At 46.6% G+C, this 23,959-nt stretch overlaps 1 protein-coding gene across 21 annotated transcripts in view, besides 1 other annotated feature; it reads left to right on the plus strand.

Annotated features, from left to right (window-relative positions):
* Positions 1-23,959, plus strand: part of SNX29 (sorting nexin 29) — a 597,554-nt gene that overhangs the window by 282,495 nt on the left and 291,100 nt on the right. For all 21 annotated transcript variants that reach the window (XR_001752024.3, NM_032167.5, XM_017023874.2 and 18 more), the window contains one exon: positions 18,705-18,808. Coding sequence is in view for 20 of the 21 variants with exons in the window: in NM_032167.5 (NP_115543.3) it covers positions 18,705-18,808 (104 nt within the window). In the remaining variant the exon portion in view is untranslated. Of the gene's footprint in view, positions 1-18,704; positions 18,809-23,959 lie in introns of those variants that run through there.
* Positions 2,125-2,631: an enhancer, noted in NCBI's record as "H3K27ac-H3K4me1 hESC enhancer chr16:12355210-12355716 (GRCh37/hg19 assembly coordinates)". NCBI's record gives its function as "activates a minimal SCP1, AML or CMV promoter by ChIP-STARR-seq in naive H9 embryonic stem cells {active_cell/tissue: H9 hESC(naive)}" and the evidence as "EXISTENCE:reporter gene assay evidence [ECO:0000049][PMID:30033119]".

A 23,959-nucleotide genomic window follows, 5' to 3' on the forward strand; every position in this document is an offset into this window, starting at 1 on the left:
AACGTGGGGAAAAAAAATGCACTCCGCTTCCAGGTGTACATGGGAATCGTTTAAAATACAGCGTGATTACAGCTGGGCCACCTGGCTGCTCGTTCTACCCCGTCTTTGAGAGGAGGCAGCATTGGCTGTGCTGGCTTGGTGTAGCCACTGGCTAAGAAGGTGTCCTCCTCCTCTCTGCCCCTGCCTCCAGCCTGAGCAAGCCCTAGTTCTGCTGGGTGAGGGGGATGCTGGGATGTTTCTCTGCCTCCTCCAGCCCGCAGCCCCCACCTGGCTCCCCGCAGCTTTTATGAGAGCTGTGGCGCAGAGGACTGAGGAGCGGATTGAAGCCAGCCCAGGGTCACGTGTGGCTTTATGGATGAGAGCCCTTGAATATGATTGTCTTCCTATTTTCTAGTTTTTCTTACCTTTGGGACATTTTCTCATCACCTAATGCTAGTCTTCAAACTGTAAGGTACATCAAAATCACCCTGGATAGTTATTAAAATGCAGATTCCTGGCCCTCGTCTCCGATCCACGGAATTCGTTTCTGGGAACCGAGACCCACGAATCTGCATTGTAACAAGTTTCCCCTTCCCTCCCAGCCCTCCCCATGTGACTTTGATGAGCGTGGTTCAGGGTCCCCCTTTGAGCCCTGCTGATATAATGGACCTCTCTGCTCAGATCACCGCCACATCCAAAGTGCCCTGCCACCCCCTAATCCCCCGCTGCCTCTGCCTCTGCCCCATGAATGCAGCCGCTCAGGTCTTTGCTCCTGCTGATGCGCGGCCACGTTCCTCCAGTCTTCTCTTCTGTTCCTGCAGGAGACAGCTGCCACATTGAGGCTTCACAGGCACTTCTCTGTGACCCCTTTTTTCTCTCCATTGTGACCTGACCCTATGGCATTCTTCAGAATTCATAAGGGAAGTGAGCTTTCAACGTGATTTCTTTTTTAAACCTATCTTTTTTATCCCCTTGAAACATGAGACTTTGCCTTGACCTTGGGTTTCAGGGATGATGAGTCCTCTTCTGCTGGTGCTACAGGCGTCCTTGTTCCAGCCTTGACATTGTTTTCCTTGTAGGTTCCTGGAGCAGGGATACATTCTGGATTTCCAACATGAATTGTGTGAGATTTTTGTTGTTCTTTTAACCTCCCTGTTACCGTCTTCCTTCTCATCCTTCATCTGTTGTGCGCCTGGTGCTCCTTGAGGACTTTGTATTCTTGGCTTTGGGCTTCCTTCCCATGCGGCTTGAGGCGCTGGCCCATGTTATCTGTTGTTGTCTAGAAGTCTCTCCACAAAGCCCAGCCCCTTGCAGATGATTTGTCTTTGCCTTCTGAGCTTCTCTTTTCTCTCATGTGGGGTGGGGGCATCCATGTCCTCCTGGTCTCTTGGAGTGCGTTCCACCTTCTCCGTCTGCTTGCTCTCCAGGGCTTTCTTAGCCAGGTCCCCGGCTGGAGTGGATGTTTGCTATGAGCTTGGGTCTGTGCACGCGTCCCCGGCTGGAGTGAGTGAGTGTTGAGCTCAGGTCAGTTCACACGCCCCCAGCTGGAGTGAGTGTTCGCTGAGCTCCAGTCTGTGCATGCGCCCCCGGCTGGAGGGAGTGTTTGCTGAGCTCAGATCTGTGTGCGTGTGCCCGGCTGGAGTGAATGTTTGCTCTGAGCTTGGGTCTGTGCATGCGTCCCCAGCTGGAGTGAGTGTTTGTTGAGCTCAGGTCAGTGCACGCGCCCCCGGCTGGAGTGAGTATTTGCTGAGCTCGGGTCTGTGTGCGCGCCCCCGGCTGGAGTGAGTGTTTGTTGAGCTCGGGTCTGTGCACGTGTCCCCGGCTGGAGTGAGTGTGTGCTGAGCTGGGGTCTGCGCATGAGTCCCTGGCTGGAGTGAGTGTTTGCTGAGGTGGGATCTGTGCATGAGTCCCCGGCTGGAGTGAGTGGTTCCTGAGCTCCAGTCTGTGCACGTGTCCCCGGCTGGAGTGAGTGTTTGCTGAGCTCCGGTCTGTGCGTGCGTCCCTGGCTGGAGTGAGTGTTTGCTGAGCTCGGGTCTGTGTGCGCACCCCCGGGTGAAGTGAGTGTTTGCTGAGCTCGGGTCTGTGCGCGCGTCCCCGGCTGGAGTAAGTGTTTGCTCTGAGCTCCGGTCTGTGCGTGCGTCCCTGGCTGGAGTGAGTGTTTGCTGAGCTCGGGTCTGTGCACGTGTCCCCGGCTGGAGTAAGTGTTTGCTCTGAGCTCCGGTCTGTGCACGTGTCCCCCGCTGGAGTGAGTGTTGGCTGAGCTCGGGTCTGTGTGCGCGCCCCCGGCTGGAGTGAGTGTTTGCTGAGCTCGGGTCTGTGCACGTGTCCCCGGCTGGAGTAAGTGTTTGCTCTGAGCTTCGGTCTGTGTGTGCATCCCTGGCTGGAGTGAGTGTTTGCTGAGCTCGGGTCTGTGCATGCGTCCCCGGCTGGAGTGAGTGGTTCCTGAGCTCGGGTCTGCACGTGTCCCCGGCTGGAGTGAGTGTTTGCTGAGCTCGGGTCTGTGCGTGCGTCCCCGGCTGGAGTGAGTGTTTGCTGAGCTCGGGTCTGTGCGTGCGTCCCCGGCTGGAGTGAGTGTTTGCTGAGCTCGGGTCTGTGCACGTGTCCCCGGCTGGAGTAAGTGTTTGCTCTGAGCTCCGGTCTGTGCGTGCATCCCTGGCTGGAGTGAGTGTTTGCTGAGCTCGGGTCTGTGCATGCGTCCCCGGCTGGAGTGAGTGGTTCCTGAGCCCAGGTCTGCACGTGTCCCCGGCTGGAGTGAGTGTTTGCTGAGCTCGGGTCTGTGTGCACGTCCCCGGCTGGAGTGAGTGTTTGCTGAGCTCGGGTCTGTGTGCACGTCCCCGGCTGGAGTGAGTGTTTGCTGAGCTCGGGTCTGTGCGCGCGTCCCCGGCTGAAGTAAGTGTTTGCTCTGAGCTCTGGTCTGTGCGCGCGTCCCCAGCTGAAGTGAGTGGTTGTTGAGCTCGGGTCTGTGCACGTGTCCCAGCTCTGCTTTGCTGTTTGTCGTTCATCCTCTGGATCTTGTTTAAAAAGTGAATGTTAGAACTGAAATTGACTCAAAGTCTTCCCCTTGGTTTGATAAATGAGGAGACCCAGGCTCTAGGAAGTGAGGTGACTGTTCAGGGTCACAGAACACTCCCTGGGAATTTGTCAGCTATCAAAATTTAAACTGCATCCCCTTTGACTCAGCAGCTTCATTTCTAGACATTCATCCCAAAGAGATACTTAAGCACATGCACAAAGAGACAGGCACGAGGCTGTAGATGGTGGTGTTATTTGAATTGGGATCAATAAAAGGCTGGTGGAATAGATCGTTGGTTCGATCCTAAAATGCAGCGATGACAAAGAACGGGGCTGGTCTGTGTACACCGGCGGGATGAGAGCGCAGGCCTGTCGCGGAGTAAGAGGTAGCAACACGGCAAGCTGTGCCATTTGTCTGATAGAAAACAAAACCAGTAAGAGTACATAAACCTGTGACAGTGGTAAGGAGACCAGGGCAGTGATGAAGGGTGACCTGCACTTTCTGTGCTCTGGACTTAGGCATTTGAATTGTTTTAATGCAGATGGCATTCACAAACCATGCAGTTCACGTGTTCTAAGTGTATAATTCATTGGTTTTCCGTGTATTCACAGAGTTGTGCAACCATCACCACTGTCCAACTCCAGAACATTTTGATGAGATCCTGTTCCTATTTGCAGTCACTCACCTCTCCCTGCAGCCCTTGGCAACTATGAAACTACCTTTTGTTTCTGTGTATTATCTTTTGAATGCAGTAGACTCAGCTCCTTCATGTGCAGAATGGGAAGCCAGATGAACTGGATCAGAGCATGTAAAGTGCTTGCCGTGGTGCTGGGCACTTAGCCAGCCTCCAGTGAAATATTAACTGACATTGTTATTATTGTCATGTCCTCTCTTCTTGGACTGTTGTCCACCTTTTTTTTTTTTTTTTTGAGACAGGATCTCACTCTGTCACCCAAGCTGGAGTGCAGTGGCATGATCTCGGCTCACTGCAACCTCTGCCTCCTGGGTTCAAGTGATTCTTCTGCCTCAGCCTCCTGAGTAGCTGGTATTATAGCCACCAACATAGCCAGCTAATTTTTATATTTTTAGTAGAGACGGGGTTCTGCCATGTTGGCCAGGCTAGTCTCAAACTCCTGACCTCAGGTGGCCCGCCCGCCTTGGCCTACAAAAGTGCTGGAATTACAGGTGTGAGCCACCGTGCCTGGCCCCAACATCTTGAATAGTTGTATGGACCCGATGAGAGAGAATGAGCTCTCTAGAAATCTAACAGATTATCATACAACTTGTTGGCCTGGTTGGGATTTATACTCTATCCCTATTCCTTGACATGCAGGGGTCTGGCATGTGTACAACAGGGCCATACACATTTAAAAATGGACATATATTTTCCCTGCAGTGAACATATGTTACTTATATAATTTGAGAAAATAAACTTTTTAAAGAAACAAAGAGAAAACATTATAAAGCCATGTTAAATGTACCTTGTTAGTTGGATGGCATCCCTAGTGAGAGTGACAAATTTTGTCTTTGTTGACTGATACATATATATATATTTTTTGCTAAGTTTTTACAGTCAGGCTCAAGTGAGGTATTGGTCAGTAATTCAGTCAGGAAGGAATGAGAGTCCAATTTGTGGATGTTTCATGGGTTCTGAGAAGCTAGATGGAGTCTTTGCCCTTTTGAAGCTTCTAATCTAGGTAGACGGTCAAGGTCATGATCTGATGTTCTATTAATGACTTCAATGACCTCCACCACCATTGCCATCCATGGAGCATGCTTTCCGGACCAGGCACCCTTCTGATTGATTCAGCTCTTCCTTGATGCCTCCTCTGATGTTAACCTACGAGAAAGGTGTGATTATTCTCTTTGTTCTGGGCAGGAGACTGTGTGCCGGCCAGCTGAGCCCCTTGCAGAAAGTGGCTGAGCCATGATTTGAGCCCAGGTCTGTCTGGCCCCAGCCCCTGTGCCTTTTGCAGTGTTGTGTCCTCACTCTGTTGACGTGCATCGTTTTTTAGCTGCCCCATATCTAACTGCCTGTGGTATGGCATAGAGTCCTAGCATTGAGGCAGTTCTGTGAAATCCTCTGCATGGGCTTTTGAAATTCCAAGGTTCTCTTCTTAAGGGCAGGCTGCACAGTAATTTCCCGAGGAAGGCTTTGTTCCATAAACCCAGGCCTTACAAACAACAGTTTCCGCCTCTGATATGTATAACTCTGCTGCTTTAAGAATGAATTGCAGAAGTCACATGTGCTTATTGCACCAAATAGAAATGCTCCACAGGGCCGGGTGCTGTGGCTCACGTTTGTAATCCCAGCACTTTGGGAGGCTAAAGCCAGAGGATTGCCTGCAGTCAGGAGCTTGAGACGAGCCTGGCTAACAAGGTGAAACCCTGTCTCTACTGAAAATACAAAAATTAGCCGGACGTGATAGCAAGTGCCTGTAGTTCCACCTACTTGGGAGGCTGAGGGAGGAGGATCTCTTGAACCCGGGAGGCATAGGTTGCAGTGAGCCGAGATCATGCCACTGCACTCCAACGAGACTCTGTTTCAAAAAAAAAAAAAAGCTTCACAGGTTTAGGATGAAAACACTTATTATCTATTGATCTATTGCCCTCCATATCCCAGGGCACAACAGTTAACAGCCTGAGTGTGTCCTTTGTGCTCAGACCTCCGTGTACATACCTGGATGATACCTTTCCACTCTCACCAAAATAGAACCATACTACATGCATTTCTGTTACTAGTTTAATTTTTGAACCCAGATACATCTGCTGTTTGGAATGAGCTGTTTTCTGTTTTTGTTTTTGTTTCTGTTTGGAATGAGCTGGTTTAAAAACAGCATTTGGGGTGATCCATGATACCCTGTCCCTTTGCTGACAAGCTGACACTTCCTTTTTTGGGTCTGTAGAGTGCAGTTAGGGCCCAGAGTTCTTTCGAGCAAATACTTTTGCACCACTTGTTTCAGGGCAGGAAATCACTCTGTCTGGCACAGCTGTCCGCATGTTTTATTCCAGCAAAGAAGTTTTCACTGTCAAACTGCTTTTCACTTGGGGGGGAGAAACATGAGTCTAAAGTTTCCATCGAAGCCTCTGCTGGGCTCCATCACATGAGCAGGTGGGACTGTGGCTGGGGAAGGGTGTGATAACAGCTTTGATTTTATGCAACAGCCATTCCCAGCTGTCCCCGTGGATGCGTTATATATTTAGCTGATCTCTTGGAAGCGAGACGCAGCTTCGAAACAGGTGAGCAGATTTCTTAGGAAAGACACATGAGACATGAAACTTAATGGACAGGTGTTCTGATTTTAAAAAGAGGGCAGGCTCTCACTCTTGTATTTGGCTTTTAAAAAATTCTCACGTCGGCCAGGCACAGTGGCTCATGCCTATAATCCTAGCACACTGGGAGGCTGAGGTGGGTGGATCAATTGTGCCTAGGAGTTTGAGACCAGCCTAGGAAACATGGCAAAACCTCAACTCTACCAAAAAAAAAAAAAAAAAAAAAAAAAAAAAGTTGCAAAATTAATTATCTGGGTTTGATGGCACACGCCTGTAGTCCCAGCTACTTGGGAGGCCGAGGTGGAGGATCACCTGAGCCTGGGGAGGTCGAGACTGCAGTAAGCCATGATTGTATCATTGCACTCCAGTCAGGGTGACAGTGAGACACCCTGTCTCAAAAAAAGAAAACTCTCATATCTTTGACACTTGGCATGAGAATAGAAAGTAATTTCTATTTTTCTCATGTTTAATTCTCACAAGAGTTACCATTATCCCCATTTTACAAATGAGGAAACTGAGGTTCAGAGAAAGGAAGTAATGAGTCCAAGAGCTGCTAGTTAGTGACACCTATAGGGAAAAACAAATTGTGTTTTTCTTTTTTCTTTTTTTAAGATAGAGACAGGGTCTCACCATGTTGCCCAGGTTGGTCTTGAACTACTGGGCTCAAGCGATCCTCCCGCCTCAGCCTCCCAAAGTGCTGGGGTTGCAGGTGTGAGCTGCCGTGTCCAGCTTCAGGTTGTTTTTCCGTTTATACTCACACCGCTCTCAACACACCATTTTTGCCGCCACACGTATGGGGGTTTCTTCCACACTAGGCAATTCTCCAACACCAGCCGGGCTCCCTACAGTTGAATTCTGACAGGACGTCATAGGGTAAGGGCTTAGTGCCCCAGGACTGCCCCTATTGCGGATTTCAGTTGCAAGTCCATGTTGTCACCTGTGCTTCCAACCAACCAGCCCCTCTGGAGACCGTGGTCTACCAGTCATCTCAGTAGCTTACAGAACAACACCTGTCACTTAGGAGATTCCAAGGGACTTCAGAGCTGTATGCCAGGAAATGTTGCAAAATGAAATAATATATATTTGCTATTATGAATTATAGTGTCACTGTGATAGAGCCAAAATTTGAACCCAGAGATGGCGTGTGTCTCTGCCCACACTACTGATCATCTGCAATTCCCCATCTATTATTGAAAAAAAAAAAAAAAAGAATATCCCACTCAGACAACGTGGTTCTTGGTCTTGTTCTTGAGGGATGCAGTCAAGTATGTAAATTTTTTTTTTCTTTGAGATGGAGTCTTGCTCTGCCACCCAGGCTGAAGTGCAGTGGCACAATCTCAGCTCACTCCAACCTCTGCCCCCTGGGTTCAAGTGATTCTCCTGCCTCAGCCTCCTGAGTAGCTGGGATTACAGACACCCGCCACCACGCCTGGCTAATTTTGTATTTTTAGTGGAGATGGGGTTTTACCGTGTTGGCCAGGCTGGTCTCGAACTCTTGATCTCAAGTGATCCGCCTGCCTCAGCCTCCCAAAGTGCTGGGATCACAGTGAGCCACTCTGCGCAGCCCAGTCTGTACTTTTTGGGTAGTGTTTCCTTGGCTTGGGTATCACTGGAACCCCTTGCTTTTTAGTGGAGAATCCATTACCTGGGAAGTAGGTTCGTATAATGTGTTTTTAAAGCATTTGGAAAGGTTAAAATTTATAGTTTTCTTAAATTATGAGTAGACAACCAAAAATGTTAGCATGGGTGCGAGTGTGTGTGTGTGTGTATGTGTGGCATGCAGGGGAGTAGGCTCCCTTTGGTGTTTAACACACGGCCTTGGATGTTCCCAAGCGGGGGATTTTGAAATTAAGCAGGCTGGGGTTTTCATCACTGGGTTCATCATTGACAGCATTTTCTAAAATCCAGCCCTCCGTTTTCTCAGCTCTGAAATAGAGATTTCATGCCGTGGTGTTTGAATTCTCAAGTGGGATGGTTAAATTGTCCAGGCTGTGATGTGCTCCTGGGGTCCTTTAGGCAGTAGCCCCTTAGCACCTTTATTGCTGCCTGTGGATTTGTGTTTGTGCTGGAGCCCAAGACCATGGCAGGGCACTGGAACCTCCCTCATCCTGCAGGAGCAGCCATGTGTGCTCAGCTGTTGACCAGGGCTGTCCGGAAAGAGCAGCGCCTCTGGAAGGTGCTGTAGCTGGAGGCTGTTGGGTAACCGCATTCCTCGCAATGGAACGGCAAGTTATCTTTTGGAGGGAGATCTGAGCTGTTTACTCCCTGGCTTCTACCTCCCAGCCTCTGCACTGCATATACCCTGTGGAGTGATCCCTAAAAACGTCCAATCATCGCACTTCTTCTGAATCCTCCAGGGGCTGCTTGTTTTGCTCAGAATAAAATACCATAGCCTGCAAACCCTTACTGTCCCCTCTCTGGTCTCATTTCCTACCAATGTCTCCCTCCTCCATTATCCTTTAGCCACATGGGGCCTCCTCACTGTTGGTAGAACATGTGGGTGCCCGCCCCAGGCCCTTTGCATTTGCGGTTCCCGGGAACGTTCTCTGCAGGGCTGTGCGGAGCTCACTCCCCTGCCTTATCCCAGTCTCTGCTCAGACAGCTCCTCACTAGCGAGGGCTTTCTTCGAACCTTATTTAACTAGCACTTGCAACCATCATTTTCTCACACTTTAACTTCCTCTAGCCCTTCCTCTGGCCTGGCATATTAAATAGTCACTTCTTGGGTCTCTGAGTCTCCTCACTGGAACAGAAGCTTCATATTGGCACTCACTTTTACCCCCCTTGATACATCCCTGTATCTCTAGTGCCTGGTACCTGGCAGGTAATGAACCTTCAGTAGCTAGTTGTGTAGGAACTAAATGAAATACTTGCCCAGAGTCACCCCTGCTAAGCGGTAGAGCCAGACTTTGACTCCCAGGGTCTGTTTCATCGCAGAGCTCCGGGGTCTTGTTGCCCGTGTTTCTCCCTTTGCTACAGTGAGCACTTGAAGATGGTGGATGTTACTGTTAGGAAGACCATTTCCTTTGTTGGAACACTGTGGGTAACCGGTGTCTTGTAGACATCATTGGCATCTCACCTGGAAGGGTCCTTTCTCCTTCGGAACTGTAAAGTGTCCCAAATTTCCTAAGACACAGAACCTTGCCCGTTGTTATGGGACCTGGGCATACCTCATTTTATGCATTTGAATGTCCTGGAAAACCATCTCTGAATTTAAAATGATTCTTTATTTTCGTCATCAGCATCTCACACTGTTTGCATCTGGGTCATGCTCAGCTTGTTCACATTGAAAGCAAAACAGTAACCTCATCATACTGTTTGCCATGCCGCTCTCCATGGTATCAGAAGTTTCACTTAATTTAGACAGAAAACCCTATGTGTTCTCTGGTGCCTGCTAGCAAGCTCAGCACAGTTTCTACCTATTTTAGACGACTTAACACAGATACCCCCAAACAGATGTGGCCGGCTGCGATGAGATGAAAAGTTATGAATGTTCTCTAAGTTTAGATGACCTGCTGATGGTACTGACTAACCCACAGCTTTTCTGGAACATGAAAATTAGTTCTTGTTGAACATAAATGTCTATATACTTCTACCAAACACAGTCTCCCTGTCTATTTGAATATAAGGAGAGAAGGCTTCTTGTTTTTGCCAAATCATTATTTTCCCATTTGGAGTGGAACTTCTATAATTATGCCATCAGGGAGACACAGGAGAAAGTTGCTGACTATTCAGAGTATAGGCAGGTAAGTAGACTGCGGATTTTTCCCGTGAATAAGGTAGATGTTAACTAGGTTGATTGGCTCAATGGGAAATCCCAGTTAATAGCATCACCATCTTCACATTTGGCACGAGATTAAAATGGCCAGACTGAATCCTGCTTGGAGGCTCCAGTGAGATTTTGATGTGAAAATACTGTGTAATCTGCAGTGCTATGTAAATTGAAGCAGTATCATTATTTTGATTTCTGTGACAATAAGATAGGTCTTACTGACCTATCTTTCTACATTGTGCTTAAAGCACAATGTAAGTTTCTGATTGAACATGGAAGTATCCAGCCATGTAGATAAAAGCTTCTGTCTTCTTGGATTCCAGCAGGTGTACTTTTCATGCGGTCCTTGACCAGGGCAAAATACAAATTTCTGAACACTGTCAAGGTAACTCAGAATATGGGCAGAAATTGTTAATGCATTTCAGATTGCATTGCTAACCAATGTCTTGAAGCCTTCTATTTTTGAAGTCAGTGTGAGCTATCATCGACATGAATAGAGAAGTATGTTTTTCTCTTGGGGTATTAAATTGTCATTCTTTCCATTTTACTTTACATCATCATCATCATCATCACCATCATCATCATCATCATCATCATTATTATTATTATTATTTGAGATGGGGTCTCACTCTGTTGCCCAGGCTGGAGTGCAGTGGTGCGATCTTGGGTCGCTGCAGTTTCCATCTCCCAGGTTCAAGCGATTCTCCTGCCTCAGCCTTCCGAGTAGCTGGGACTGCAGGCACGCACCACCACGCCCAGCTAATTTTTGTATTTTAAGTAGAGATGGGGTTTCACCATGTTGGCCAGGCTGGTCTCAAATTCCTGACCTCAAGTGATCCACCCACCTTGGCCTCCCAAAGTCCTAGAGATTACAGATGTGAGCCACCACGTCCAGCCCCGTTCTTTCAGTTTTAAAACCCATAAATCACCCTCAGGAAAGATGCGACTTAGAAAAGTTGTAGTTTGATCAGTTGCAAATGTTTGTATTTATTGTTTAGGTTTGACTTTCAGAATTCAGTCACAATTGATTCTTTACGAATTGATTGGTTTATTGGGGGGATGTGCAAAGAGTGTAGAATGGTGTTGTCATCTGTTATTTTTGCCTCTCAAATGACTTGACGTTACTCAGACTTTAATTGTGCTGCCTTCCTTAATACCCAGATGTTCTTTTACTCCCAAGGCAAATTGAACCTTCTCGACTTGAAAGTAAATCCGATGTTGTGCTTGCATGAACTTAGCCTCATGGGATGAATGGTCTCTCATGCCTTGACCCCACATACTCACCTTTGGCAGTTGAGAGATGGGAGATGTCTAACCTGTTCAGTCGATTCCCTCACTTTGTAAATATTAATCCTTATGCTGTGGAGCAACATGGCACATTTACCTCTTATTTATATTTATATTTTTATTTTTTTGTGCATGTCATCTACATGAAATGATATCACCATCTCCGTCACTTCATGGTCTAACTCAGTCTAATTTAAAGTGGTCTCTCGGCTGGGCACAGTGGCTCATGTCAGTAATCCCAGCACTTTGGGAGGGCAAGGCGGGTAGATCGCCTGCGGTCAGGCATTCGAGACCCACCTGGTCAATGTGGTGAAATGCCATCTCTACTAAAAATACAAAAAATTAGCTGGGCGTGGTGGTGTGTGCCTGTAATCCCAGCTACTCAAGAGGCTGAGGCAGGAGAATGGCTTGAACTGGGGAGGTGGAGGTTGCAGTGAGTCAAGATCGCGCCACTGCACTCCAGCCTGGGTAACAGAACGAGACTCTCAAAAAAATCAATCAATAAATAAAGTGGTCTCTCAAGAAGTAACTATGGAATGATTAAAGACTCTACGTTGGTTAACTATTGTTGTGTAACAAATTACCTCACAGTTAGATGGCTTAAAACAACAAACATTTACAATCTTTGTGTGGGATAGACAGCCTGGGTGTGGCTTAGCCACATGCCTGGCTCAGGGTCTCCCCTAAGGCTCTGTCATGGTGTCAGTTGGAGGCTGCGGTTGTCCCAAGGCTCCACTGGAGGAGTGTGCACTGCCCTCATGTGGCTCATGGGGGCTGTTGGCTGCGTGCATCAGTTCCTTGCCATGAGGTTCTCTCCGTAGGAAGCTCGTAAGAATAAATGAACAAGAAAGGCAACCTCACACAGAAGCTGCAGTCTTTATAACTTAATCTCAGTGGTGAAACCCCATCACTTCTGCCATAGTCTGTTTATTGGAGGTGAGTCAATAAACATAGTCTGTTTATTGGAGGTAAGTCCAGCCTATGCTCAAGGGGTAGGGATTATATAAGAATGTGAATACCAAGGGGCAGGGGGAATTGGAACCATCTTTGTTGAATGTAATATATTGGAACCATCTTTTTTTTTTTTTTGAGACAGAGTCCCACTCTGTTGCTCAGGCTGGAGTGCAGTGGCGTGATCTCAGCTCACTGCAACCTCCGCCTCCTGGGTTCAAGTGATTCTCCTGCCTAAGCCTCCTGAGTAGCTGGGATTACAGGCATGTGCCACCATGCCCGACTAATTTTTGTATTTTTAGTGGAGACCAGGGTTTCACCTGTTGGGCAGGCTGGTGTTGAACTCCTAACCTCAAGTGATCCGCCTGCCTTAGCCTCCCGAAGTGCTGGGATTTCAGGTGTGAACCACTGTGCCCTGCCTGGGGTCCATCTTCGAAGCTGCTTACTGATGGGAAAAGTATGATATAGTTAGGCTTAATTTTGTATTATTTCATACATGGAATTGAAATTTTTGGCATGCTTGCTAAAACTGAACCAGGGCAGCAAGGAAGTCAGGTAGTTGCAGGGGAAGGTTGACTGGCTAGTTGCTGAGAGAACTTATGTAAATTCATGACTGTCCAGGGTCTTTCCCCAAGCCTTTAAGGTCAAAAAGCTTATTTCTGCACCTCTGCCCCCACCAGTGTTGAAGGTTGCTGATTCTTCTTAAATATAGTCCTAGAGGGGCTGGTGCCTTGGGGACGGGGCTAGTGCCTTGGGGACAGGAGGCCAGTGGCGTGATTGCTAATGAGATGTGTGGACTTGAAGCGGGTTGAATGAATTGTGATGAGCAGGACCTCCTTGCAGAGGGCAGCAGCCTGGGCCTGGGCAAGATGAAGAGATCATTTGGAGTCACGGGTAGAGCAGGGCTGTGAGTTCGCCATTTTGCGTATGTATTAGCACCAGGCTCTGCTGAGCAGCTGCAGCCAGCTTCATGCTGCGGTGCCTGCCAAGGTATCTGTGTCCTGGTTGCCCTGCCGACGGGCTCCACTGCTCTCTTACCTGACTTTTCTAAGTCCCATGGCTAAGTGCAGGCTCCCCTCAAATTCTGATTACATAGTTTACATATCACTAACATATAATCATAGTTTACACATAATTTTGTTTGTGTCTTTAAATCAAAACTTTGCAGGTACATAGATAAAGTCATTGGTTCTCTTAGCTTTATTACAAAAGACAGGAGGCCTCTGGCTGTCACTGTCTCCCACTTGCCACCCTTCAGAAGCCCCTCTTGGAAGCTTTTCCACTCATGCTTTGGGTTGTTGCCTCCATATCTCTGATCAACACGCCTGTTGCCGCTTTTTTATTTTTCAGTTTTTGGAATTACTTATTTCTCATCGTGGAAGAGGAAGGGTAACTGTCTTTGACTGCTCCACCTCCAGAAAACACACGCAACACGCAGCTCCCCATCCTCTGGCACAGTCATATCATCATTTTGGTTAGATCAGTATTCAGTGATTACATTATTATAACTGGAAATGCTATCTACAGCTGTGAAGTGCATGATCGTTTTTCCTGCACGATCTCTTGATTTCTCTGGTGTTAATACTTAATTCAACTCCAAGTTCATCCTCAGTGTGTTAATCCCCCTGGTGCCTTCAGGCACTGTAGGCCGCCTCCCGCTTGCACCCAAGGCAGTCTCTCCTGGTGCCTTCTGGCCTACTCTAGCCAGAAGCCTGCTGCTGGTGGGCCCACACTCTCCAACTCACTTTTTTTCTTAACAGCTTTCTTGAGATATAATGCACATAACATACTGTTCAGCCTTTGAGAGTGCATAATTTTAGTGGTGGTTTTTTGTTTTTTGTTTTTTTTTTTTTGTTGTTGTTTGTTTGTTTTTGAGATGGAGTTTTCCTCTTGTTGCTCAGGCTGTAGTGCAATGGTGGGATCTCGGCTCACTGCAACCTCTGCCTCCCGGATTCAAGTGATTGTCATGCCTCAGCCTCCCGAGTAGTTGGGGTTACAGGCGCACACCACCATGCCCGGCTAATTTTTGTATTTTTAGTAGAGACAGGGTTTCACCATGTTGGCCAGCTGGTCTCGAACACTTGACCTCAGGTGATCTGCCCACCTCAACCTCCCAATGTGCTGGGATTACAGGCGTGAGCCACCAAGCCCGACCCTCAGTGGTTTTTATATTCACAAATTGTGCAACCATCGCCACTCTCTAATTCCAGAACATTTTTGTCATGCCCCAAAGAAGCCTGATACCCTTTAGCAGTAGGGTCTTCATCCCTCCTTCCCCCAGACCCTGGCAACTAAGACCTTCTCTGGACATTTCGTGTACGTGGGCTCAGGTAATCTGCAGCCTTTCGGATCTGGCTTCTTTCCCCTGGCTGAATGCTCTCACGGTCTATCTGTGTTGCAGCGTGAGTCTGCTCTTCATTCCTCTCATGGCTGAATAGTACAACCCTGCATGGCTAGACCGCATCTTGTTCACTTACCAGGTGATGGCCATTTGGGTTGTTTATGCTTTTTTGTTACTATGAAGTATTCTCTGGCTCCCTTTTGTGTTGCATCCCCTATATCTTGGGATCTATGTATTACGATTGCTAGAATTCTTCCCTTCTTTATGTGCGGGGTAAAGTTTCTGCACGGTCACATGTCTGAAAATGCCTTTATCCTGCCTCTCACGTGGCTTGCCTGGGTGTATAAGGCTCAAAATAATTTTTCTTCAGAATGTTGAAGAGGTTTCTTCATTGTTTTCTAGCTTTCCATGTTGCTGTTTAGAAACCCTATGCCATTTCTAGTTTTTATCCTTTGTAAAAATTCTTCTTCCACTTCAGAAGTTGGTAGCCTGTCTTCTCTGTCCCCTGTGTTCTCAAGTCTGTGAGTGAGGCTTGCTTTTGTCCATTTTGCTGGACATTCATTGAACTCTTCCATCCTGCCCCTCGTGTCTGTTGGCTCTGAATTATATCTTTGATTTCCTCTTCTGTGTGTTATCTTTTTCTCCTTTCTTGATCTCTTCTCCATTTGGACTTGTAGTTCTCTATTCTCCCCACCTCTTTTTTTTTTTTTTGAGACAGAGTCTTGCTCTGTGGCCCAGGACGGAGTGCAGCTATGCCATCTCAGTTCACTGCAACCTCTGCCTCCGAGGCTCAAGCGATCCTTCCACCTCAGCCTCCCGAGTACCTGGGACTACAGGCATGTGGCACCACACCATACTAATTTTTGTGGTTTTTGCAGAGGTGGGGCTTCACCATGTTGCCCAGGCTTGTATTCTATTTTGTTATTCGTTGCCTCTATTTTCTGGAAATTTTGCTACCCTTTCCTTTACAGTCCCTGTTCTATTTCTGCTGTTATAGTTTCACTCTGTAAAAGGGCTTTTGTGTGCTTTGTGTTTTTCTTTTTCTCCTTTTTAAATATCTCCGTATTCTTATTTCATGACTACACTGTCTCCTCCTCTCTCTCTGGAAATATTACCCACAGTTTGCTTTTGAAGTGTTTTCCCTAAATAGTCTCTCTTTCCTGCAAGTTGCTTTTCTCTGTTTATTCCTGTCTCAGTCTTTCATCTTAGGTGCTTTTCTCAAATGGGATGTGATTTCTAGATGTCTACTCAGGTGTTGGAATGGGGTTAGAAATTGATCCAAAGCTCCGTGAACTTTGACTTTGGGCCTCTTGGGGTGATCTGGCTGTGCCATTCCACTGGAGAACTACCCCTGGTCTCCAAAGTTTTTTTAGATTCCTGGGAGAATACCTTTCCATTCCCTGGCTTAGAGGCACATGCTGTCTGCCTGCTCTTCTGGGAATGAGTGGGGCTGGGGAGAGGGAAGAAGAATGGGAGAAACTCAGAAGTTCAGTGTGTGTTACTTTTATGTCTCCATTAAAAAAATGGAATACCCTAACCTCAACTCAGTCCAGACCTACTGCGTTTTCTCCAGAGAATAAACATGTATATTTTGCTAATCGCTTCTTAAACAGACTTTTAAAACCTTTCTTTTGCTTTCTAGTCCTGTGTTCACCGTCATTTCCAGAGGTGTCTTGTGCTAACAGTTCATTAGCGTTTTATGAATCATTCCATTCTCATCAGATATTATTTTGGTGGCATCCATGTCTGTTTAGGAATGAAATTTTCTCAGGTCTGTCAAGTTATTTATCAGTCATCTACCTGATTCTTAGCTTCTGTAATTTTGTTTTTTTTGTTTCCTCTCCAATTCTTTTTTTTTTTTTGTGAGCGATGTCTTTATAAAAACCTTTTTTTGCTTTTATTGTTATTTTTGACACATAATAAATTGTGCATATGTATGAGGTAGTGTGTGATATTATGATAGATGTATACAAAATTTAATGATCAAATCTGGGTACTTACCATATTCATCATCACCTCATAGGAAACATTTTAATTGTTTTTTTTTTTTTTTTTTTTTGGGGGGCGTGGTCAGAGTCTTGCTCTGTTGCCCAGGCTGGAGTGCAGTGGCACCATCTCGGCTCGCTGCAATCTCCGTCTCCCTGGTTTAAGTGACTCTTCTGCTTCAGCCCTCCGAGTAGCTGGGATTGCAGGAGCATGCCACCATGTCCAGCTGATTTTTGTATTTTTAGTAGAGACAGGGTTTCTCCATGTTGGCCAGGCTGGTTTCGGACTCCTGACCTCAAGTGATCCACCCGCCTTGGCCTCCCAAAAGTGCTGGCATTACAGGTGTGAGCCACCGCACCTGGCCTTAATTGACATTTTAATGGGATTTTGAGAGGATGTGAGTGTAAATTACTGTGTTCAGGCTCTCATCTTTACAGAGTTCTTCACAGTTTTTCTTTCCATAACTGTTTGGGGTTATCTGTTGTGATTGGGTCACTCCCTGCATTCGTGGCCCAGGACTCAGGGCTTCTTTCTGCGTGTTTCCTGCTGTCACTCAGGGTCTTGAGCCTTCGGCGGGCTCTAACAGTGTGGTCTGAGGAGGCTTAGCCACCTGGCTTAGTTGCATCAGTTTTGACTCCTGGTTTTGCTCAGCCTTCCTGACTTTCACCTTCTTCCTGAAGGCTACCCGCATCACTGGGGGGCTAGTCTCAGATCCTTGTTTAGCCTCACTGCCCCTCCATACAGCTGATAGGGCATCCAAGGGATTTCTTGTCCCAGAACACACAGGAAACTGATCCTGCATCATTGATGCTTGTTTTGAGGCTTGAGGCTAATCCACATTCTTAAACATGCTGTGGATGTTTTTCTTTGCCCTTGGTGTGGGAGGTCTTCCCTGTTCTTGTTTTCTGCTTTTCTTGGAACTATCTGGTTCATTCTCAGCTTTTCTTTATTTGTTTTTCCCTGCAGAGTGGGCATATATGGGCATATACATAATCATGGAAACACTACTCAGAGCCGTTTGTGTGCATGCTTGCTCTGACCTGGGAGCCAGTCTCTTTAACATGTCTTTTGCATTGACGTTCTGTGTTGGTTTCCGAGTTTTTCTAAAGGTTTTCTTGCTGTCATCCTAAGTATGGTTTATAAATACCAATCCTTGGTTTTACACATACTCTGACCCCCATTAGTGCTCCACAGCTGGCTGTCAGCAGGCCCTACCTCACTGGATCACTTTTTTGTTGTAGAAAAAGGAACTTGGCAAATATAAAAGATGTAAGTGGACTGAATGCAGTGGTTCACACCTGTAGTCTCAGCACTTTGGGAAGCTGAGGAGGGAGGATCACTTGAGGCCAGGAGTTTGAGACTAGCCTGGTCAACATGGTGAGACCTTGTCTCTACAAAAACTAAAAAAACAAAAAAAGAACTAGCCTGCTGCAGCAGGGTTATGCCTACAGTCCCAGTGACTCAGGAGGCTGAGGCAGGAGGATCGTTTGAGCCCAGGAGTTCGAGGCTGTAGTGAGCTAAATGATTGATTGTGCCACTATACTCCAGCCTGGGTGACAGAGGAGACCCCATCTCAAAAAAACAAACAAAACCTCCACCCCCCAAAACAACCAGCTCTTATGTCTTGCCAAACCTGCCAAAACATTGCCTGTTTTCTCCTGAAATGGAAAGTAGTGACAAGATTATTTCTTGACTCCTGTGCTTCTGTCTCATGACAGTTCTTGCATTTTAAAAATACAGCTTATCGCTTTTTATTTTTTTAAGTGACAAAGTCTAGTTATGTCACCTAGGCTGGATGACAGTGGCACAATCATAGCTCATGGCAGCCTCGACCTCCTGGGCTCAAGCGATCCTCTCAACTCAGCCTCCTGAGCAGCTGACACTACAGGCGCACACCACCATTCCTGGCCTTGTCACTCGTTTTATTGTACTTAGGTGAAAATGTCCCATTGTTGAAGTAGTTAGTAAGTGTGTGTGTGTGTTTTTCTTGAGAGCTTTTTCAGTCTGAAGTCATCTGAGAAAGAAGAATTTTTTCTTTTTTTACTGGGAGAATAATTTTCGATACTGTTGAAATATTTATGACATGTCTCTCTTTCTCTAAAGTGCCAAATCTTTGGAGTGTTGATGGAGAAGTTACAGTAGCTGAACAGAAGCCGGGAGAAATTGCTGAAGAACTCGCAAGCTCCTACGAAAGAAAGCTCATCGAGGTAAGGCCGGTGGAGTCTGTGTGTCTTTGTTTCTGATGTTGGCTGCGTTGGAGACTTTCCAGGGTAGGTCCAGCCTATTCTAAAGACACGTGAGCAAAACGACCAAGCAACTCCTCAGCCCCACAAAACAAAGCAAGACCAAATCAGTGTGCTTTATAAAAAGAAGTATGAGCTGATCCTTTGAAAAATGTCACTTAAATATTGGAACTTTTTGGCACTTATGATAAGGACATAAGAGAAAACATATATGTGTAACATTAAAAATAAAACAATTGTAAGATTTGGAGATGAAAACAGAGAATATCACATGCACCTTTGTGCTGTTAAATGTGAAAATATGGATGAGGTGAACTATTTTTCAGAAAAACATTCATTATCAGAATTAATTGAAGATGAGGCAAACTGGTCGAAGGGACCCCCTCACCCTCAAAAGAAAAGAAAAAAAAAACCAAAACATTTTGGAATAAAGTTGTACAAATTACTGAAGAACTGCTTCCTTAGAAGACAGCAAGCCTAGAGGGTTTCATGGTGATTTCTAGGAAACTCTTCAAGGTAATACACAAAGAGCCCTTTGCTATTTATATTTCCTGAGAGGGTTTTTATACGTCTCTATCTTGGTTCAGGTATGCATTACTGTGATATAAAAAAATCCTGACAAAGATAGCATAAAAAAGAAAACTATCAAATAGAATCATTTGTGTATAAGATGTACAAAAATTCTAGAAAGTCATTACTCAAATTCAGTCGCATATTAAAAGAACAGTGCACATAAAACATAGGGTTTATTTAGGATTGCAAGGATGGCTGCATGTTGGGAAATTCATCCATGTAAGTCATCTCATTAGTAGCCTCAAAGAGGACAACCAGATAATTATCTTGGTAGGAAATGAAAAATCATTTTATAACCTTATTGATACCTGATTAAAAAAAGGGTAATTCTTGGATATGATAAAGAGGTTTTTCAAAAACCATTGATTTATTACCATATTCAATGGTAAAGTTGAGAAGCTATGTTTTTGATGAGGTGTGTGTACATGTTGTAATGGTCCCTTGGTGGTAGTATTGTAAGTCATGTCTGTATGTACATACATACACATGCTAAGTATACAAGCAAACTTTCGGTTCTTTCTAAATCTTCTACAGTGAGTTTTATTTTGATAATCAAGAAGACACTCGCTCATTGCTGTGTAGACATACCTGAGCTTGGGTGGGTTTCAGAGGCCCAGGGCCTTGGAGGGTGTTCCCCTAAGTTCATTGCTGGTGCAGGCTGCCATTCTTACCATCTGTTTTGTCTGGTCTCTAAATTGCCTCTAAAGAAGGAAGGTGGCTTTAGAAACAGCTTGCATTCTAACTCAGGTGAGCTCAAGGGAAGGCAAGCTGAGGCCTTAACACACAGGTTGGTGGGGATGAGTCAAAAGCCAGGCTGGGGAGGCCTGGGGACAGGGCACTCCTGTGTGCTCTCTGCCCAGTGCTCTGCCCTTCCTTGGGAGCTCCCTCAGTGGGGCTGTGAGACTCAGACTTGGCTGGTGGCAGTGCCAGGGTTCTGGGCCATGAGTCTGTGCCCGGAAGTCCCAAGTGGAGAGGGAAGCAGGGCCCCAATCTCAGGATTGGGACGACTTGTGTCAGGATTCGAACCCCTGAAAGGTAGGACTGTGTCTTTGCCACCTCTGTACGTTCCACAGCCACTTATTGGCAAATGGTAGGTGCTGCGTAACCCTTGAATTTTTAAGTTCTCCTGGGATGGGGATGTCTGGATTTACTGAATGAATGAATGAAGGCCTGATGAGCTAGAGAAGGTGAAAGGGTTCTCAGAATGAAAGTGCAGGATGAAAGGTTCTGTTCCTCTGGGGGAACAAGGGTGCTGTGGTGAGGACTCCATCAGACCAGTGCAGCTCAGTGAGGGTGCCTACTTCGCAGGGTCCACAAAGGCATTGAGTGCTGGGTCCAGGCAGCGCTCTCCGTGGAGATTCTCCACCTGTGGGGCTGCTGGGCAGCGTGTAGGGGTGGGGTGGGGGTGTTTGACCCTCTGATTGATTGGGTGTTTGACCCTCTGAGCCAAGTGCCACTAGTTCATTCGTGGGCCGGGTGGTTGGATGATTTATTTCAGTGTTTATGAGATGCCTGCTTTCTGCATCAGAAACAGCAAGAACAGAGGCTGAGTACAAGGAAAGCATTGGCAGGAACTGAAAGGAGACTCACGGGTCGGGAACAGAGTAGATGAGGGGAGAAAGGTGATGCTGTGGCTGTGTCCTGGCCGTGTCACCACCCGCTTTGCTTTGACCATGTGAAAATCTCATCCCCTGCTGTGCTGACCTGAGCTGAGATGTGTGGAGAGGATCAGGTCATGTGGGGAGTTACTGCAGGGTCCACCTGCCTGGCCGTTCTGGCCAGCTGTGAGAGGGTGAGTGTGGAACCACCAAACGGGAGGGCTCAAGGTTGAGGCATGAAGGTTCGTCTTACTGGCCTCAAGCTTCCTTTCTTTTCCTTCTTGTTTGTTTTTTTTATCCCGGGAGCAGTAGAGATGCTGGCTGTGGTCAACGAGCTGAGAGAAGTGTGAGGTTGAAGCAGACATGTCCTCAAACGGCATTTACTGCACCGGATTGATTTTTCCTTCTTTTTTGGTTGCAAAGACAGGTTCTGCCGGTGATCTTTCATCTGTGAATAGCATTAGCATTTCACTACACCAATACTTTTGCTGTTAATCGAGACCCTCAGAACGTTCTTTGTGATGCTTCTGTCATTCTGTTAATGGGTTGATTTTTACCAAAATAGTTGTAAAGACTTGTTAGAGTAATGAACGAATGTGAGGGGAAAAGTTGATATAGTTTCTTTCCGTGTCAGAAGGGCAAAGGAAGAAGAAGAAACATTGTATTTATTTAGTTATTTATGGAGACAGGGTCTCAGTCTGTCGCCTAGGCTGGAGTGCAGTGGTACAGCCTTGGCTCACTGCAGCCTCAACCTCCCCGGCTCAACGGATCTTCCTACCTCAGCCTCCCAAGTAGCTGAGACTACAGGCATGTGCCACTATTCCCAGCTAATTTTTTTAAATTTACTTTTTCTAGAGATGGGATCTTGCTATGCTGCCCAAGTTGGTCTCAAACTTGTGACCTCCAACAATACTCTCACCTCGGCCTCTCAAAGTGCTGGGATCACAAGTGTATGCCATTGTGCCCAGTCCATCTCATTTTAGATAATAAGGATATTTGGAACACCTTAAACATGGTGATTCATCCCAGTGCGAAGGGAGTTTCTGAGAATTTTTTTATCTAGGTGTCTTTGAGAGCATGAAAGCCAACTCATCTATCTGCACATACACACTACACATTTGTGCTTGGTGACCTGGAATCCAGTGTCCTGGACAGCACAGAACCTAAAGTCGGTGCCATAAAGCCCTCTTTAAATGGCTGGTGGGCATCTTGTGCCAAGGACTGGAGGTATAAAAATTGTTCCTGACACCCTGTGGTTGTTAACTCAGGAAAACAAGGAGGACAGGAGAATTCTGGCAGGTATACATTAATCTGGCAAGGGTAAAAGCACTAGTAGTATCACAGCCCCTGTAATACTAGCAGCAGCTGTCAGGTGAGTACTGTTAGATCCAGGCACTGTGCTGGGGTTTTTACGTAGATGAACATATGTGATCCTGAGAAGAGTTCTTTGAGGAGGACACTCTTGCTGCCTCCAGTTCACAGACAAAGCTTTGGGAAGTTTAGTAACTTTCCCAAGAGTCCTTAGCTGCTAAGAAGCAGAGCTGGGGCTGGGCGTGGTGGCTCAAACCTGTAATCCCAGCACTTTGAGAGAACGAGGCGGGTGGATCACTTCAGACTAGGAGTTCGAGAGTAGCCTGGCCAACACGGGGAAACTATGTCTGCCAGATAGAATCTGTTTCCATTCTCAAAAATTAGCCGGTCATGGTGGCATATGTCTATAGTCCCCAGCTACTTGGGAGGCTGAGGCAGAGAATCACTTGAACCCGAGAAGAGGAAGTTGCAGTGAGCTGGGATCATGGCTCTGCACTCCAACCTGGGCGACAGAGTGAGACTCCATCTCAAAAAAAAAAAAAAAAAAAAAAAAATGCAGAGCTGGATTTGAATCCTCACAGTTGAGCACCAGAGTGCAAACCCACAACTCTCTGCCGTGCTTTGGAAGGCTGAGCTCATTGAAGAAGAAGGTTAACTTGACGGAAGAGACGATCACTACCGATGTTCAAGAGAATGAATGGCAGGACACAAGGGGGAAAACTAGTAGTAGATAACAGCAACTGCAGCAATATCAGCCATTTGAGATGGCGCTGGTGGTGGGGACATCACAAACCCTTTGTTACTGGAGAAGAAAGGGGAAAAGCACATCTTGTCTGTGCCAAGGATTACCTGCTTCCAAAGCAACTTGTAGCAGAACAGCAGAGTGAGAGTTCCTCGAGGGCAGTGCGGACATTGTCTTTTAAATTGTATCTTCATTGCCCAACCCATCTCCAGCATATAGTAGGAGAAACATAACATTGAATAGAAGGCCAGCCTGTTGAGTGGCTTCAGTCATCTTGTGTAATGCGTAAAGAATGATAAATGTGAGTCCTAGAACCTCAGATTGGGAGTGAATTGTCTAAGGCATCACAATTAAGTATTTTTTTGTTTTGTTTTTTGAGATGGAGTTTTGCTCTTTTTGCCCGGGCTGGAGTGCAATTGCCTGATCTCAGCTCACTGCAACCTCCCCCTCCCAGGTTCAAGCGATTCTTCTGCCTCAGCCTCCTGAGTAGCTGGAATTACAGGTGCCCACCACAATGCCTGGCTAATTTTTTGTATTTTTAGTAGAGACAGGGTTTCATCGTGTTGGCCAGGCTGGTCTCGAACACCTAACCTTAGGTGATCCGCCTGCCTTGGCCTCTCAAAGTGCTGGGATTACAGGCGTGAGCCACTGCACTCGGCCCACAGTTAAGTCTTAACTAGAGCTCAGAGCAACCTGGTAGAAAGGATTAGATAGCTAATAAGAGCACATGGGTTCTGGAGAGGAGGCACACTTTACTCTGGCCCTTAATGTTAGCAGGAGGCATAGCTTGGAGAGCCTGGGGACACCATTGAGTAATAGATGGTGCCAACTCAATTTGTGCACATCCATTGAGCGCCTTCTCAGTGTCCAGCCCTTAGCTTCCTTTCTCCT

Source organism: Homo sapiens, chromosome 16 (genome assembly GCF_000001405.40).
Source record: "Homo sapiens chromosome 16, GRCh38.p14 Primary Assembly".
Classification (NCBI taxonomy): domain Eukaryota; kingdom Metazoa; phylum Chordata; class Mammalia; order Primates; family Hominidae; genus Homo; species Homo sapiens.